The 16,083-nt window shown below is 39.5% G+C and overlaps 2 long non-coding RNA genes across 3 annotated transcripts in view; one reads left to right on the top strand and one right to left on the bottom strand.

Annotated features, from left to right (window-relative positions):
- Positions 1-16,083, bottom strand: part of LINC01580 (long intergenic non-protein coding RNA 1580) — an 83,450-nt gene that overhangs the window by 29,370 nt on the left and 37,997 nt on the right. The window lies entirely within an intron of this gene.
- The window catches only part of LINC01581 (long intergenic non-protein coding RNA 1581), a 202,536-nt gene that overhangs the window by 153,158 nt on the left and 33,295 nt on the right, over positions 1-16,083 (top strand). Inside the window, exons 7-8 of the long non-coding RNA NR_120320.1 lie at positions 5,560-5,716; positions 7,199-7,284. This is a non-coding gene — a long non-coding RNA (long intergenic non-protein coding RNA 1581). The remainder of the gene's footprint in view (positions 1-5,559; positions 5,717-7,198; positions 7,285-16,083) is intronic.

The raw sequence follows: 16,083 nt of genomic DNA, 5'->3' as shown, positions 1-16,083 counted from the left end.
ACTATTTGCTTATCGAAGAAAATTACCATGAAGTATTTTTGTGTCTTCTGCAATATATCTTATTTTAAAATATTGGAATATTCATTGAAGAGTATTTAAACTTCTTAAGGAATTGCCCTGGTTGTGTTTTTGAAACCTCTTACTACTGAGGATATTACATTAAAGACTGAAAACACTTCCTCAGATAGAAATCGAAGATATGAGAAAAAAAATAGATGCATGAGCAAGGGTATTTCCAGCCTGCTACATAGGTTGTGATTCCGTTCAGTAATAACAAAGCAACTTTCTAGATTCTCTATGTGAATATGACTGTGTGAAGAGGTACATCTAGCTCAGCAAGGATTCTATGTGTCAGTGACACATATTCCTTTAGAATCCCATATTCCATAAGAATTTTTGAAAATATGGATGTCAGGGTGAGCACTGTGAGAAGTGAATAAAAGTAATAGCAGCAAGGAGCTATTAAGCATTCAAAGCTATTCAGTGCTTATTAATGTATGGTAAGCAATATGAATATCTTACAGCTCACAGAAAAACCTAATGAGGTAGGTATATTTTACATTTTTGAAAAAAAAAGAGGCTCAGAGAATAAGGAATTTCTAGACGTTCAGAGCCAGGTACCACTTTGTCTCCAAAGCTCTGGCCTTCCTAGGATACATGTAGGAAACCCGGCTCTTTGGCCCCACTTCAAACCAACACGCCAGGTGTAGCTCCAAATATCTCAATCACTACCAGGATCTCATTTTTCCACGCCTCCCCTCCAAGTCATCAAAACCGTCCAGCCCTGTTTTGTTTTTGAGCCACTGTTTAAAAGAGTAGGAAAACCAGTAACAAACTTATTCCACTGTCTTGAGAGATGTAGAACTATTCTTGTTTCTATATATTGAGGCACTGGCATATTTCTTATGTCTTCTAGTTTTTCACTTTTAATCATTCACTTAACTTTTTTTTTTTTTTGAGATGAACTCTTGCTCTTGTCCCCCAGGCTGGAGCCCGATGGCACATTCTCGGCTCACTGCAACCTCTGCCTCCTGGGTTTAAGCGATTCTCCTGCCTCAACCCCCCGAGTAGCTGGGATTACAGGCACCTGCCACCACGCCTGGCTAATTTTTGTATTTTTAGTAGAGACGGGGTTTCACCATGTTGGCCTCAGGTGATCTGCCAATAGAACAACTATTTATGTGCAAGGTGCTATGCTATGCATTAGAGAATCAACAACAGACAAAATGTAAATGATGCTTGCCTTAAACAAAGAATCACAGAGATAAATACGGAACTATAAATGTGCATTAAATCCTGCAATAGAGAAATTTATGATGCTATAGAGCTACACTGTTCAATACAGTAACCACTAGCCAACTGTGGCTATTGAATTTAAATTTACTAAAATTAAATAACATAAAAAATTATTCTGTCACACTAAGCTACATTTTAAGTGCTCAACAGCCTCTTGCAGCTATTAGCTACCAGATTGGAAAGCACAGATATAGAACATTTCCATTATTACAGAAAGTTCTACGGAACTACCTATGTCTTTTCTTCATAACATTTAGACTACTCTTTGGTTTACTTATATTTATTTATGTTTGCTTTATGTCTATCTATTTCACTAGAATGTAAACTTTTCCATGCCAGAAATTTTAATTCCTTCTTGTTACTAGAGGTTTACTCTAAACTGTGCCTGGTTTGTCTAGAGCTCGACATCTATCTATCCCTTGCTAGATTCTCCCTTTACCCACAGGCCTTGTATGTGGTTTGACAGAGCAATGCTACCCAGTGGCCAAGGTCTTCACCAACAGTGTCCCAAACTGTATCTGGGCTCAATGCATGCTTTATTGAATAGCTTAGCTCCCTAGAAGAGTCATCCCTTGGAGTCGGTATTTTCCCCGTCTCTCATTCTACTGATACCATCCCCTCTCCCTTTTGTTTCCTACTAGTCAATTGTGCTGCATGACTTGCTCCTGAGCATATCTGAGCTATGAAAGTCCTGCATGCCCATTCCTGCATTTCCCAATGGCACAGTGGGTTGCATGAGTGAACCTCGCATACATCTTATTATAAAAGCACATGAGCTGAACTTTCCATCTTAAACTCTCTTCATCCCTTCAAGGACAAGTGAGATGATTCTGCTCTGAGAAGCCCGAAGAAGAGAGCAGAGAATAGAAATCAATATGATGTTTAGAAAGGTTCTCTAAGAATTTGCACCCTATGCCTGATGACCACTAAACAATGCCATTTGTAGCTAGCGTGGATTGTGCTGTACTGACTTGCTCAGTGTTTTTAGTAATTTAGACACTTGGTATAAGACTTTAGGAAAACAATTTAGAATATATAAAAACAGCAAAAAGCTGTCATAGCAAGCTGACAGAGATAGATTAGATAGATAGATAGAGGTATACATATATGGATATAGATATATGTAGATAGGGATGGATGAATAGATAGATACATGACAGATAGATAGATAAAGGTATAGGTATAGATATATGGATATAGATGTATGTAGGTAGGGATGATGAATAGGATGAATAGATAGATAGATAGATTGATTGATTGATATAGGTATAGATACATGGATATAGATATATATAGGTAGAGATGTTAGATAGATAGATGATAGAGGTATTGGCATAGGTATACAGATATAGATATACGTAAGTAGGGATGGATAGATATAGATAGATAGACAGATATAGGTATAGGTATAGATATATGGATACAGATATATATAGGTAGGGATGGATAGATAGATAGAAGATAGATATAGGTATAGGTATAGCTATATGGATATAGATATATGTAGGTATGGATGGATGACTAGATAGCTGATTGATAGATATATGATAGACAGATGGATATAGGTATAGGTATAGATATATGGATATAGATATATATAGGTAGAGATAGATAGATGATAGATATAGGTATAGGCATAGATATATGGATATAGATATATGTAGGTATGGATGGATGGGTAAATAGATATAGATAGATATAGGTATAGTTATAGATATATGGATATAGATATATGTAGGTAGGGATGGATAGATAGATAGAAGATAGATACAGGTATAGGTATAGATAAATGGATATAGATACATGTAGGTAGGGATGGATGAATAGATAGATGATAGATAGATAGATAGATATTATAGGTATAGGTATAGATATATGGATATAGATATACGTAGGTAGGGATAGATAGACAGAAGATAGATATAGGTAAACATATAGATATATGGATATATATAGGTAGGGATAGATAGACGATAGATAGATAGATAGATAGATACATAGATAGATAGATAGATAGATAGATAGATAGATAGACAGATTTATTAATGCTCCTGTTCTCTTTTGCCCTACATTAAGAATACCCCTTTGCCTCTCAGCCTCCTCCCACCCCTCTTGTGACCCCCTCCAGTGAGCCTTTGGTAGATAATCTCCTGCGCTCATATTAGATGCAAACAAGGTAATTGCTAAACTTAGAAAGACCAGAAAGTTATTGGTAAGAAGGGAGGAGGTGATAACGCAAGCTTCAATGGACTGAATTGTATGGGCAATGAGAAGAAGGGCTTTAGTGGGGAAGGAGACTTTGAGGTTACGGTGGGGGTGGGGGTGGGGGTGTGCATGAGGAGGGAAAAATAGAGGTTTGCACAAAGATGTTATGTTTTTTGCTGCTTATCAGAAATATTTTAAAAAATAAAGCAGTAAAAATTTAAATTTCTTTCCGTTGTTTTTCTATGCTGAGCTGATTATTTTTAAAAACTGGGCACTGTCCTGGGAAGGGAACATTAAAAGAGATTTACATGGATGTATTTCTGATGTTCAACAGATAATTTGCCCAGAGAAATTCAAAGAAAGAGAAATTTATGTGCACAAAAATATGTACCCAAGCCTTACTGACAATATCAGAATTTGGAGATATTAATGTTGCCATCAAATAGGAAATGAATCAAGTAAACTATGGTTCTCAACTGGCTAGAGACATCCACCAGCACAATCCTACTTAACCTTTACTGAATTTCTCCTTTGCATCATTTTTCTAAGCATTTTGCATATAATAACATATTTCATTTTCACAGTAACCTTATGAGGTAGGTGCTCACTATTGCCATTTAACAGATGGGACTATTGAGGCACAAACAAGTTAAGTCCATTAATCAAGGCCACCAAGCCAGGGAGTCTTTTTTTCCCCCTTTGAGACAGAGTTTTGCTCTTGTTGCCCAGGCTGGAGTGCAATGGCTCGGCCTCGGCTCATTGCAACCTCCACCTCCCAGGTTCAAGTGATTCTCCTGCCTCGGCCTCCCAAGTAGCTGGGATTACAGGTGCCCACCAACATGCCCAGCTATTTTTTGTATTTTTAGTAGAGACGGGGTTTCGCCATGTTAGCCAGGCTGGTCTCGAACTCCTGACCTCAGGTGATCTGCCCGCCTTGGCCTCCCAACGTGCTGGGATTACAGGCATGAGCCACTGCGCCCGGCTCACCAGGGTGTCTTATTTTGGTATCAGTGCTTTCTCAATCAATACACCATACTGCTGTTAATAGCGTGCATGATGGACATGAGGCAATACATAATAAAAGAATCATTTATGACACGTTATATGAAAATGCAGAATTAACATTTTGTAAGTTGTTAAAACCGCAGGCAGTCACACGTGTATGTGGATATGAGCTGGACCTGGAAAGGAATTGGGTTCTGGCGATGAGCTTATGGCCGATCTACCTGAATCTTTTGAACTTTCATAATATTATTATATGATTTTTACAAACAAAAATACGAAGCCAGGGTAATCACACAAATGTTAATTCAAAAGCCTATTTCAATGATTTACATTTCCTCCATATGATTGATTTTATATATTTACTTGAACAAGTTTTTCCTTGCTACTTTTCCTCTTTTAAAAATGTGTCACATACATCTTCTTCAATAGGATTTTTAAAGAAGGTAATTAAATCCACGTATAAACATATGGTTATGTCTAGTTACACAATTAATGTTAATATATGGCATGTAATCATCATCTAATTGGAATTATATAGCATGTGGTGACATAATTATAACATGTAATGATGGCAAGATCCTTATTTAAGCCGAGTGTAATGACTGCAATTTGAATTAGATTATTCTTAAATTATAATTTCCTAGTTGCTTTAAGAGTCCCTCAGGGACAGGAACAGGCTGAGTCGTGCCTATTGTTAGGAAGAAAAAAGAAAACAATTTAAGTACCTAAGAAAATAAGGTGATCGGAAATGTGATATTTTCTGTCTTAATCAGGCAGAAAAGAAAGGGCTTTAACTAAAGCATATTTTTATATTATTTGTTAAATAAAACTTGCTTTCAAGCTGTGACCAAAAAAAATGTCACTTTAGGCTGACCTTTGGGATTCACCTCATCGGTCCACAGAGGATATCCATTAATCACAGAATGGGGTACAGAGGGAAAGCACTGCCATCCTGGTGATGTTCACCCCCATCCACAAGTCACTTTACCCTGATCCCCCATGAGTTTTTTTTCTGCACCAGACATCCTGTTACAAATGTCTTGTCCTTTGCAGAAAGTTCTCCTTCTGAAAAGGGCAAAAGATGACATCCTCAAACTCGCAGCAATAATTGGAAGGAGAGACACGAACTCCCCGTTGCTCTGGAGAAAGTGATGAAAGTTCCCGGGGCTCTGGCTAATGACAGGAAACACATAAGTGGACAGAGTATCAGGTATCAATAAATGAGTCTGGGAGTAATAAAACAAATTAGGGAAGGGAAAATGTAAGCTAAACGTGGAAGTGTCTCTTTGAGCTGAGCTGCCTGAAGTGCAACAGCCTGCCACGGAGAAGAACGCTCTGAGCCGCCCACGTTTAATCAGTGCAAATCCCACAGATTTAGATATTGGAGATGAGAAGCAGCAGGACTTGCTGAATAAGTAGCTCTCAAACATGGAGGTTGTGGAATATTTTTGTTTTGCTTTGATGCCTTAAAAGCTGTAAGCACGCCTCAGCATTGGGGCTCGGAGGCTTTGGAGTGGGCATTCTTTGTTTTTAAGTTGTTTCTGCTGAGATTTTCTTCCTTGCTTTAAATGAACTGTGGGAAACTCCTTTGGGAACCCGTGGTTCTTGCAGAGTTCCGTTTAGGAACCGTAGCTGAGGCCTTTGCTTTTTGTACCAGGTAGTATTCCTGGAGGGTGGTAAGGTGGGCTCAGTGTTTTCAGGAGTGTTGGACTTGTGGCTCTGTCCCTAACCTTCTCTGTTAGAGTGGATGAGCCAATTTATCCCTCTGAATTGTATCCTCATATGTTAGATGAAGGTGGGAATAAGAAAAGTTCTAAGCAACCTTGGACAAAAAATAGATCCTTTTTGTTAGAAGCCTCCATGATTTGAATTCTAAGTCATCAGAAAGGGTGGCCTTATTGGGAGGGACTGATGGTAGCTTTGGCCTCCATCAGCCTTGGGATTCCAATCTCTGACTCTGTTTAACTCCTAACAACAACATTCACTTAACCTGCAGGTTTGGGCCAAATCAGAACACACCAAACCTGCAGAATAAAGTGGAATGTGGCTCATGGCCATGTTGAAGCAGGAATTATCATGATTTTATAACCAGGTGAATCAGTCTCAATTTGGAGGTTCTTGTGGGCTTAAACCCACCAGGACAAACCCACCTAAGAAAGTGCAATTATTTATTATTTTTCCTTTGACCATTGTCTCAAAGAGTGGCCCTTGTCCACTGGAGGTCCTCTCTCAGGTCCTTATGGATTAGAAGAACCATCATTAGCTGAGGTCAGACTCTTATGCAAGCAACCAGGGATGGTAGAAAGGGTGTGTCCTCCAGGTTCCTTGGGGTGCAAAGGCTGAAAGAATGGGGGCCCTGGGCCTTCTTGGTGGGCTGTTGTTCCCTGTTCTCTCTGCCACAAAGAGGGTCCTGGAAGCAGGAGTGTATTGGACTTGAGAAGGTTTGGAGGAAGGTGGGGAATGGCATACGGGTCTACCTCTTATTTATCCAGGCATCCTGGTCCTGCCAGACCTAGCATAGTGGTGTCCCAATTACTATCCTAGATCAGCCCCTACTTGTAGAACAGAATGAACCCTGGATGCCCTTGGATTCCTCCCAGATTGCTCAGGGAGTTCCAATAGGTCTCTCCCAAGTTCTATGGATGCTAACCTTTCTTGTAATCATTTTCCCTTCTTCTGATTTTATCACCAGCCTCTTGGGGGGCCCCAGGATACAGTTCAAATGCCAGCTTGTCTGCTCAGGAATTAAGGGGTTCCTGCCGCTGCTCCACTCTTCAGGTATTTGAGGAATTTTGACCCTTCATGGTTCTCCACCCCAATGTCTTCTGATTATTTGTTATAGTGCAACAAACAGATGCATAGAGACACAGGGGTGTGCATACTTAGTTCTTTATGCACAGGGTAATGCCATTCCTCTTTTGTGCAGTTGTCATATTCTTTTATTAGAAGCCTTCCTATCCATCTGGCCATCTACTTAAACTTGGGGGCCCAGTCTGGAAATCAATCTAAGACACACATTTTCCTTTAAGCCTAAAGTATCTCTATCCTTGTATGCAAACACTTGGTCTTTGGAACAAGCTCTATTCATGAACTCAGGCATGGAGGCCCCTGCTAGACTTCCATGATGAAGAAAACCTGAAAGTTCCAATGAGAACAGGGCTTAGGGAAGATTCTGGGTCTCCAAATACAAGGGTCAAAGCAAATGGCAAAACTGCAAGTGAGTTGTATGTGTTGACACGATGATAAAATTGACTTCTTCACTAGGTATCAAGGTACAGTAGACATTGCACACTCACTGGAGGTTGCAGATTTCCAAAACGAATGAACTAGAACTAGTTTCACAACTCTTGGACTCCCCAGACAGAGTCCCCTGGTCCAGTTTGAGGCTATATAACCATTGAAGAAGTTAAAGAGAGAGAATTTTGAAAGAGGATTTTTAGAGACGGCTGTGGAATCTGTCAGTGCCTCTCCCCGCACCCCATCCCAGAGCCAATGGGTTGGGGAGGAAGGCCTTCTTACCTAAACTTTAGTGATGGGAGTTTGGAACAGGCATCTTGGAACAGGATATGGATTCTGGCTGTAAGCAGAGGAGACAATGAAGGAGAAAGAGAAATGGTAGAAGAAAGAAGGAGCTGTAGGAGGAGAAAGGATTTCACATTAAAACAAGTTTTGGCAATCCAATTTCTGAACAGAAACCATGTTTGCTATTTAAAGTCACTTGCAGGTTTGTCTCTGGCCTAAGAATGAATTGGATATTCTGGGATACCCGATAAGGCAACTGGAGACAGCAATCAAGTCAAGTTTCTAGGCAAGCTAAACATGTCCTGCCCCTGCTTGAAAGAACCTTATGTTGTTAAACAGGGAAAATTCATGATAAATCATTAGCTTCTCATATACACGAATAACAAGCAGAGGGAGGATAGACCAGGGTTTGAATTCTGCCCCTTTGTAGTACTTAGAAAAATATCTTATCTTCCCAATCCTTAGTTCATCCATATGTCAAAGAGAGACTTCAACCCTTGCTTTGTTTGGTTATCATGAGAACTTCGTGAATCATATTAGCAAAGTGCAGTCAGTTAACCCAACATCTAGCATATAGCTAGGTGGTCAAGAAATGTTATTTCTCTTTCCCTTTTTATAGTAAAGGGAAGAGGAACATTCTTTTTATGGTTCAGCATGAAAGCTGAACCATGGACATTTTTGTATCAAAGATCTTGCTGGAGAGTAGTTGAGCATCATTGAGTTCTCAGAATAACCTAAGGCTGAATAATTATTTAATCATGTTGAATAATTAGATGAAACCTATGAATTAGAACATGAATAACCACAAATATGGATGTAAAGCCCAACCTCGTGGGAAAAGACATCTGTCCTCATAAGCTTTCTCAGTTAGGAAAGAAGTCCTTGTCTCAGAAATTCTGTTTAAAAGCTAACAATAAATATAGAAGGAACTCAAACTATTTAATTCTGTTTGTTGATGTTGTTGTTGTTGTTGTTGTTGTTGTTGTTGTTGTTTTGAGACAGAGTCTTGCTCTGTCGCCCAGGCTGGAGTGCAGTGGTCCCATCTCGGCTCACTGCAAGCTCCGCCTCCTGGGTTCACGCCATTCTCCCACCTCAGCCTACCGAGTAGCTGGAACTACAGGCACCTGCCATCATGCCTGGCTAATTTTTTGTGTTTTTAGTAGAGACGGGTTTTCACCATGTTAGCCAGGATGGTCTCGATCTCCCGACATCATGATCCACCTGCTTTGGCCTCCCAAAGTGCTGGGATTACAGGCGTGAGCCACTGTGCCCAACCTATTTAATTCTGTTTTAAAAGCTAACTGGAATATATAAAGAGCTCAGACAACTTTACAGAAAAAAGATCTAATAATCTGATCAAAATATGGGCAAAAGATTTGAATAGACATTTCTCAAAAGAAGACATACAAATGGCAGACATATGAAAATGTGCTCAATATCATTGATCATCAGAGAATTGCAAATGAAAACTACAATGAGATATCATCTCACCCTGTTAAAATGGTTTATACCCAAAAGGTAGACAATAACAAATGCTGGCAAGGGTGTGGAGAAAAGGGAACCCTCATACACTGTTGATGGGAATGTAAATTAGTACAACCACTATGGAGAAGAGTTCGGAGGTTCCTCAAAAAACTAAAAATTGAGCTACCATAAGATCCAGCAATCCCACTGCTGGGTATATATCCCAAAGAAAGGAAATCAGTATATCAAAGAGATATCTGCACTCATATGTTTGTTGCAGCACTGTTTACAATAGCTAAGATTTGGAAGCAACCTAAGTGTCCGTCAACAGAAGAATGGATAAAGAAAATGTGGTACATATACACAATGGAGTATTATTCACCCATAAAAAAAGTATGAGATTCAGTGATTCGCAACGACACGGTGGAACTGGAGGTCATTATGTTAAGTGAAATAAGCCAGGCAGGGAAAGACAAACATCACATGTTCTCACTTATTTGAGGTACCTAAAAATCAAATCAATTGAACTCATGGACCTAGGGAGTAGAAGGATGGTTACCAGAGCTTGAGAAGGGTAGTGGGGGGATGGGGGAAGGTCGAAATGGTTAATGGATACAAAAAAAATAGAAATAATTAATAAGACCTACTATTTGATAGCAGAATAAGATGACTAAAGTCAATAATAACTTCATTGTACATTTTAAAATAACAAATGGCATAATAGGATTGTTTGTAACACAAAGGATAAATGCCTGAGGGGATGGACACCCCATTCTCCATGATGTGCTTATTTCACATTGCATGCCTGTATCAAAACATCTCATGTACCCCATTAATATATACGCCTACTATGTACCCCAAAAATTTTTTTAAAAATAAATAAAATTTGCCGGGCGCGGTGGCTCACGCCTATAATCCCAGCACTTTGGGAGGCCGAGGCGAGTGGATCACAAGGTCAGGGGTTCGAAACCAGCCTGACCAACATGGTGAAACCCCATCTCTACTAAAAGTACAAAAATTAGCCGGGCGTGGTGGCGGGCGCCTGTAATCCCAGCTACTCAGGAGACTGAGGCAGGAGAATTGCTTGAACCCAGGAGGCAGAGGTTGCAGTGAGCCGAGATCACGCCACTGCACTCCAGCCTGGGCAACAGAGTGAGACTCTGTCTCAAAAATAAATAAATAAATAAATAAAATGTATGTCTGATCTAAAAAAAGCTAATAATGATAGCTCCTTTATTGAGTGCTTACTGTGCGCCTGAGATGGTTCCAACCATTTTCTTTACAGGTTGCTTTATTTCCTCCATCTGCACAGATGAAGAAACTGTGGCACAGCCAGGTCCAAGCACTTGCCCCAAGCAGTTACTCAGTGGCAGAAGCAGCTTTTGAACTGAGATAAGCCTGTGCACTAATCTGCTATGGTACAGACCTGCCTTTTGAGATATACCGAGCCAAGACTGGCTTTGTCTAGTGTGCCAAACGAACAAGGCCCTGGGAAATTGCTTAGCAGTGACAGTCACGTCTCAGGAATGGCTGCTGAATATGAACAGGGACTGCCAGACAGCTGCTTCCTGATCTAATGGCCTCTCTTTCTAAGGGCTGTCTTCCACATCTACTACGTGGATCACATTCAAAAGCAGGGCTATGCTTCTTCTGGAAGCAAGGAGCTACCTTGAATACAGAAAAATATTCAGGTCTTTATTGCCATCGTAAATTACTTGTGGCCTTGTGAAAGGCTGAGGATGTCGCCAAGCAGGAAACTGTCAATATACCATCAAAGCCTCCCCACCCCATCCTGGCCCCCAATCTGTGCATTGATTATTGTTCTACAAAACCAGCAAAAAATAAATGTTTAAACTAAGTTCAAAAATGAAGCAAAATAATACCCTCTAAATATATGTCTCTCCGTGTGTATTTAATGTATCAATTTATAGTCAAAAGCTAGAAATTATCTACCAAGGAGGCAATTTATACTGTATTTTTTGTCCCTAGAGGAAAAAATGCATGCCTTCTCACAGAATAGCAAAATTTGCAATATGATTGTTTTATATATATTTTAGGCCATTTGTGCAACAAATAAAATATTTTTAAATCAACCAGAAACAAGTCATATTTTGTAATAGTATTAAAAAATAGAATCTATTAGTTACATGCCTCATTTAAAAAGGCTGAATTGTTGGCGGGCAATTTGAGGGTATTAGTTGCATGGAAACACTTGCTTTGGATGGTTGATCACGATTTTATGTTTTAATTCAACACAAGATTAGTTGTTATTTTGATTTGTCCAACTCTAATATCATTGAATATTAAATCATTCACCAATACACTTTCTATTTCTCATTTTTTTGATAATGATGAATATTTAAAAAATAAAAATGCCATTCAAAAACAGGGCTTTCTTTCCTATATTGTTGATGCAATTTTCTACTCTGTAATTCTGACTATATTCCACATATATAACTAATGTGTTTGTCAATCACTCATTGATTCATTCATTAAAAATATATTTATTGAGCCAGGAATATATGTCAGGAACTGGGTTAGCTGCAGAGGGACAAAATGATGAGCAATATGGTCATATTTCCTGTTTTTAAGAAGCTTATGGTCTTGAGCAAGTGTTGGCAAAGCTTTTCTCTAAAGAGCCAGGTATTTTAGTTTTGTGGGTAGTTGCAACTACTTAACGCTGCTGTTACAGTGTGAAAGCAGCTATGAACAATATGCAAATGAGTTAACATGGCTATGTTCCAGTAACACTTAATTTTGCAAAAACAGATGGTGAGCTGGATTTGACCCGAGGGCTGTAGTTTTCCAATCCCTGGTCTAGAAAGGAAAGTAAATATTTATCAAATAATCACACAGATTATTTGCCATGGTAAGTTTGCTAGTTGTAATTCACAGTTGGCTTAAGGGCCATGAAAGACAGCTGCCTTTCACTGTAAGCATGAGCAATAGACTGGTTCCAAGTGGACAAAAAGGTCAGAGAAGTATCTCCTGGGAGAGGAACTATTGAGCTGAAGTTTGAATCAAGAAGTAGATGTTAACCTGGTAAAGAGCGAAGGAAAGAGCATTGCATGCAGCAGGAACAATATACGCAAAGGCCTTGTGATGCAAAGCTGTTCTAGTTTTACGGAGTGAAGGAAGACCACAGTGATTGAAACAAAGTAAACAAGAGGGAGTGCCATAAAACATGGAGACGTGGACAGAGCTTTTCAGATGACTAGATATTGAACAATGCTAAAGTGAAGAGTGTTTTGTTAGGTCTCCCCAAAGGGCCAACTCTCAGCTTCCATTTATAAATCTGGACCGGGAGCCCAAAGCTAAGGTCATTTCCCCCAAACCAAAGCAAGGCTGTGAGGTTCAGTCATGCGTCTCCTGAGAGTGGAAACTTGGCCTTAACTGACTTTACTGCTGTGGGTGGACACATGGCTGGACACAGTGAGGAATGAAGGAGCCAATTTGAGGGCAATCGGAAGACTCAACTGGAGTCTTGGCTTCCCCATGTGACCTTCATGAAATCATGAATACTCATGATGTAACAAACTTTAGAGATCATCCAGCTCTGCAGTTTTCACCTCGTATTTCCAGGATCCCCAGATTTCTGCAAAAAATACTCTGGAAAGCCCAGGTAGGTGAGGAAGACAGTGGGCAACCAGGGTTTCAAATCATTCTGCTCTATTAAGATCTATGAAAAGATAATTGAATCCTGAATAAGATTCCACATTCTTAAAGGTGGCAGAGGGGAGGAGAAAAAAGTTTGAAATCTATTACCCTATAGACAATTTCTATTACATTATGGACACTTCCCATGGAAAGAAACCAGCTCCCCTCACTTTCCATTGTGCTTGCTGCCGCTCAGCTTGAACTACACGTCCTGTCTGATTTCTTATGCAAGGTTCTGGACATCCAGGAGAAAAAGCTCCTCCTGGGAGATTTTCTCAGATGGCCTTTGGCTGCAGTGGTGCATCTTGGGAAAACCTGAGGCTTCTGCTGACTGGCTGTACATTGTGCACCATAAGCCTGTCCTCTGAAATAGATATCAGTTCACCCTCCCTTCTTATGCACAGGCCTGTGGTCCCATTCAAGGACATCAGATGGGTAAATAAAGTAACTCTGCAGACACTGAAATGCAAAATGTAAATGGGACATGGAAACTGAAATGTCCTGTTATAATTCAGGACTTTTCAATTATTTATTTCAGGACTAATTCAATTATTTCTTTCAAATTTTATTTTAGATATGGGGGTACATGTGCAGGTTTGTTGTCTGAATATATTGTGTGATGCTGAGGTTTACGGGTCTGAATGCTCCTGTCACTTAGCAGAGTACCTAATAGTTTTAAAACCCTTTCCTTCTCTCCCTCTCACCTCCAGTAGTTCCCAGTTTCTATTGTTCCCATCTTCATGTCCACGAGTATCCAATATTTAGTTGTCACTTACAAGTGAGAATATACAGGACTTGGTTTTCTCTTTCTCCACTAATTCTCTTAGGTTAAAGGCCTCCTCATGCATCCATGTTGCTGCAAGGGACATGGTTTTATTCTTTTATATGGCTGTGTAGTGTTTCATGGTGTATATGTGCTACATGTGCTTTATCAAATCACCTAGGTTGATTTTATGACTTTGCTATTGTGAATAGTGCTGTAATGAATATCCAAGTGCATATTTCTTTTTGGTAGAATAATTTGTTTTCTTTTCAATATATACCCAGTAATAGGATTGCTGGGTTCAATGGCAGTTCTGTTTAAAGTTCCTTGAGAAATCTCCAAACTGCTTTCCACAGTGGCTGAATTAATTTACATTTCCACCAGCAGTGTATAAGTGTTATCTTTTCTCTGCAGCCTCACAAGCCTGTTGTTTGTTGACTTTTTAATAGTAGCCATTCTGACTGGTGTGAGATGATATTTCATGGTGGTTATGATTTGTGTTTCTCTGATAATTAGTGATGTGAAATTTTTTTATGTTTCTTGGCCACTTGTATGACTTTTTTTTTTTTTTTTTTTCTTTTTTTTGAGAGGGAGTCTCGTTCTGTTGCCCAGGCTGGAGTGCAGTGGTGCAATCTCAGCTCACTGCAAGCTCCGCCTCCCAGGTTCACGCCATTCTCCTCTCTCAGCCTCCCAAGTAGCTGGGACTACAGGCGCCGCCACCATGCCTGGCTAATTTGTGTGTGTGTGTGTGTGTGTTTAGTAGAGACAGGGTTTCACCGTGTTAGCCAGGATGGTCTCGATCTCCTGACCTCATGATCTGCCCACCTCAGCCTCCCAAAGTGCTGCGATTACAGGAGTGAGCCACTGCGCCCAGCCATGACTTCTTTTGAGAAGTGTCTATTCATGTCTTTTGCCCATTTTTTGATGGGGTTATTTATTTTTTTCTTGTTCATTGTTTAAGTTCCTTATAGATTCTGGATATTAGATCTTTGTCAGATGCAACATTTGCAAAAATTTTCTCCTCTTCTGTAGGTTTTGTTTTTCCTCTGTTAAAAGTTTCTTTTGTGTGCAAAAGCTATTTACTTTAATTGAGTCCCACTTGTCAATTTTTGTTTTTGTTGTAATTGCTTTTGAGGACTTAGTCATAAATTATTTCCCAAGGCTGATGTCCAGGATGGTGTTTCCCAGGTTTTCTTCTAGGATTCTTATAGTTTAAATTTTTAATTAATCTAGAGTTAATTTTGCATATGTTGAAAGGTAGGGGTCCAGTTTTATTCTTCTGCATATGGGTGGCCAGCTATCCCAGCACTATTAATTGAATAGAGAGCATGTTGACTTTTTTGAAGATCAGATGGCTGTAGGTATGTGGCTTTATTTCTGGGTTTTCTATTCTCCTTCATTGGTCTGTGTGTCTGTCTTTGTACCACTACCATGCTATTTTGGTTAATTTGCAAATGATATAAATCTATACCTAGAAAACCCTAAAGGCTTCACCAATCAGCCATCAGCCATGAGTTCCAGGCTCCAGAAACTGTTGAACAACTTTGGTAAAATTTCAAGATACAAAATCAATGTACAAAAATCAGTAGCATGTCTATATACCAATTATATTCAATCTGAGAGCCAAACAAAAAAAAATGCAATCTCATTTAAAATAGCCACAAACAGAATAAAATACCTAGGAATGCATTTAACCATGGTAAAAGATCTCTACGAGAAGAGCACTGCTAAAAGACATAGTAGATGACACAAACAAATGGAAAAACATTCCACACTCATGGATTGGAAGAATCAATAACATTAAAATGGCCATACTGCCCAAAGCAATCTACAGTTTCAACATGATTCCTCTTAAAGTATCAACATCATTTTTCACAGGACTAAAAAAAACTTGATTTTTCATTCCTGTCTTCAGTGTGGCTCTAAGGTTCGATTTTCAAATTCAATAATTACTGCCATTTTAAAGTGGGATAACTTCTACTGGAATCAAGAGGCTTGCATTCTTATCTGCCTCTTCCATTGCTTTTTTTCTTTTTTTGTCGAGACAGAATCTCACTCTGTCACCCAGGCTGAAGTGCAGTGGTGGGATCTTGGCTTGCTAAAACCTCCACCTCCCGGGTTCAAGCGATTCTCCATCCTCAGCCTCCCAAGTAGCTAGGACTACAGGCGAG

Source organism: Homo sapiens, chromosome 15 (assembly GCF_000001405.40).
Source record: "Homo sapiens chromosome 15, GRCh38.p14 Primary Assembly".
NCBI classification, from domain to species: Eukaryota; Metazoa; Chordata; class Mammalia; order Primates; family Hominidae; genus Homo; species Homo sapiens.
The sequence above is the reverse complement of the archived record's forward strand: the minus strand, read 5'-3'. Positions and strand labels throughout refer to the sequence as shown.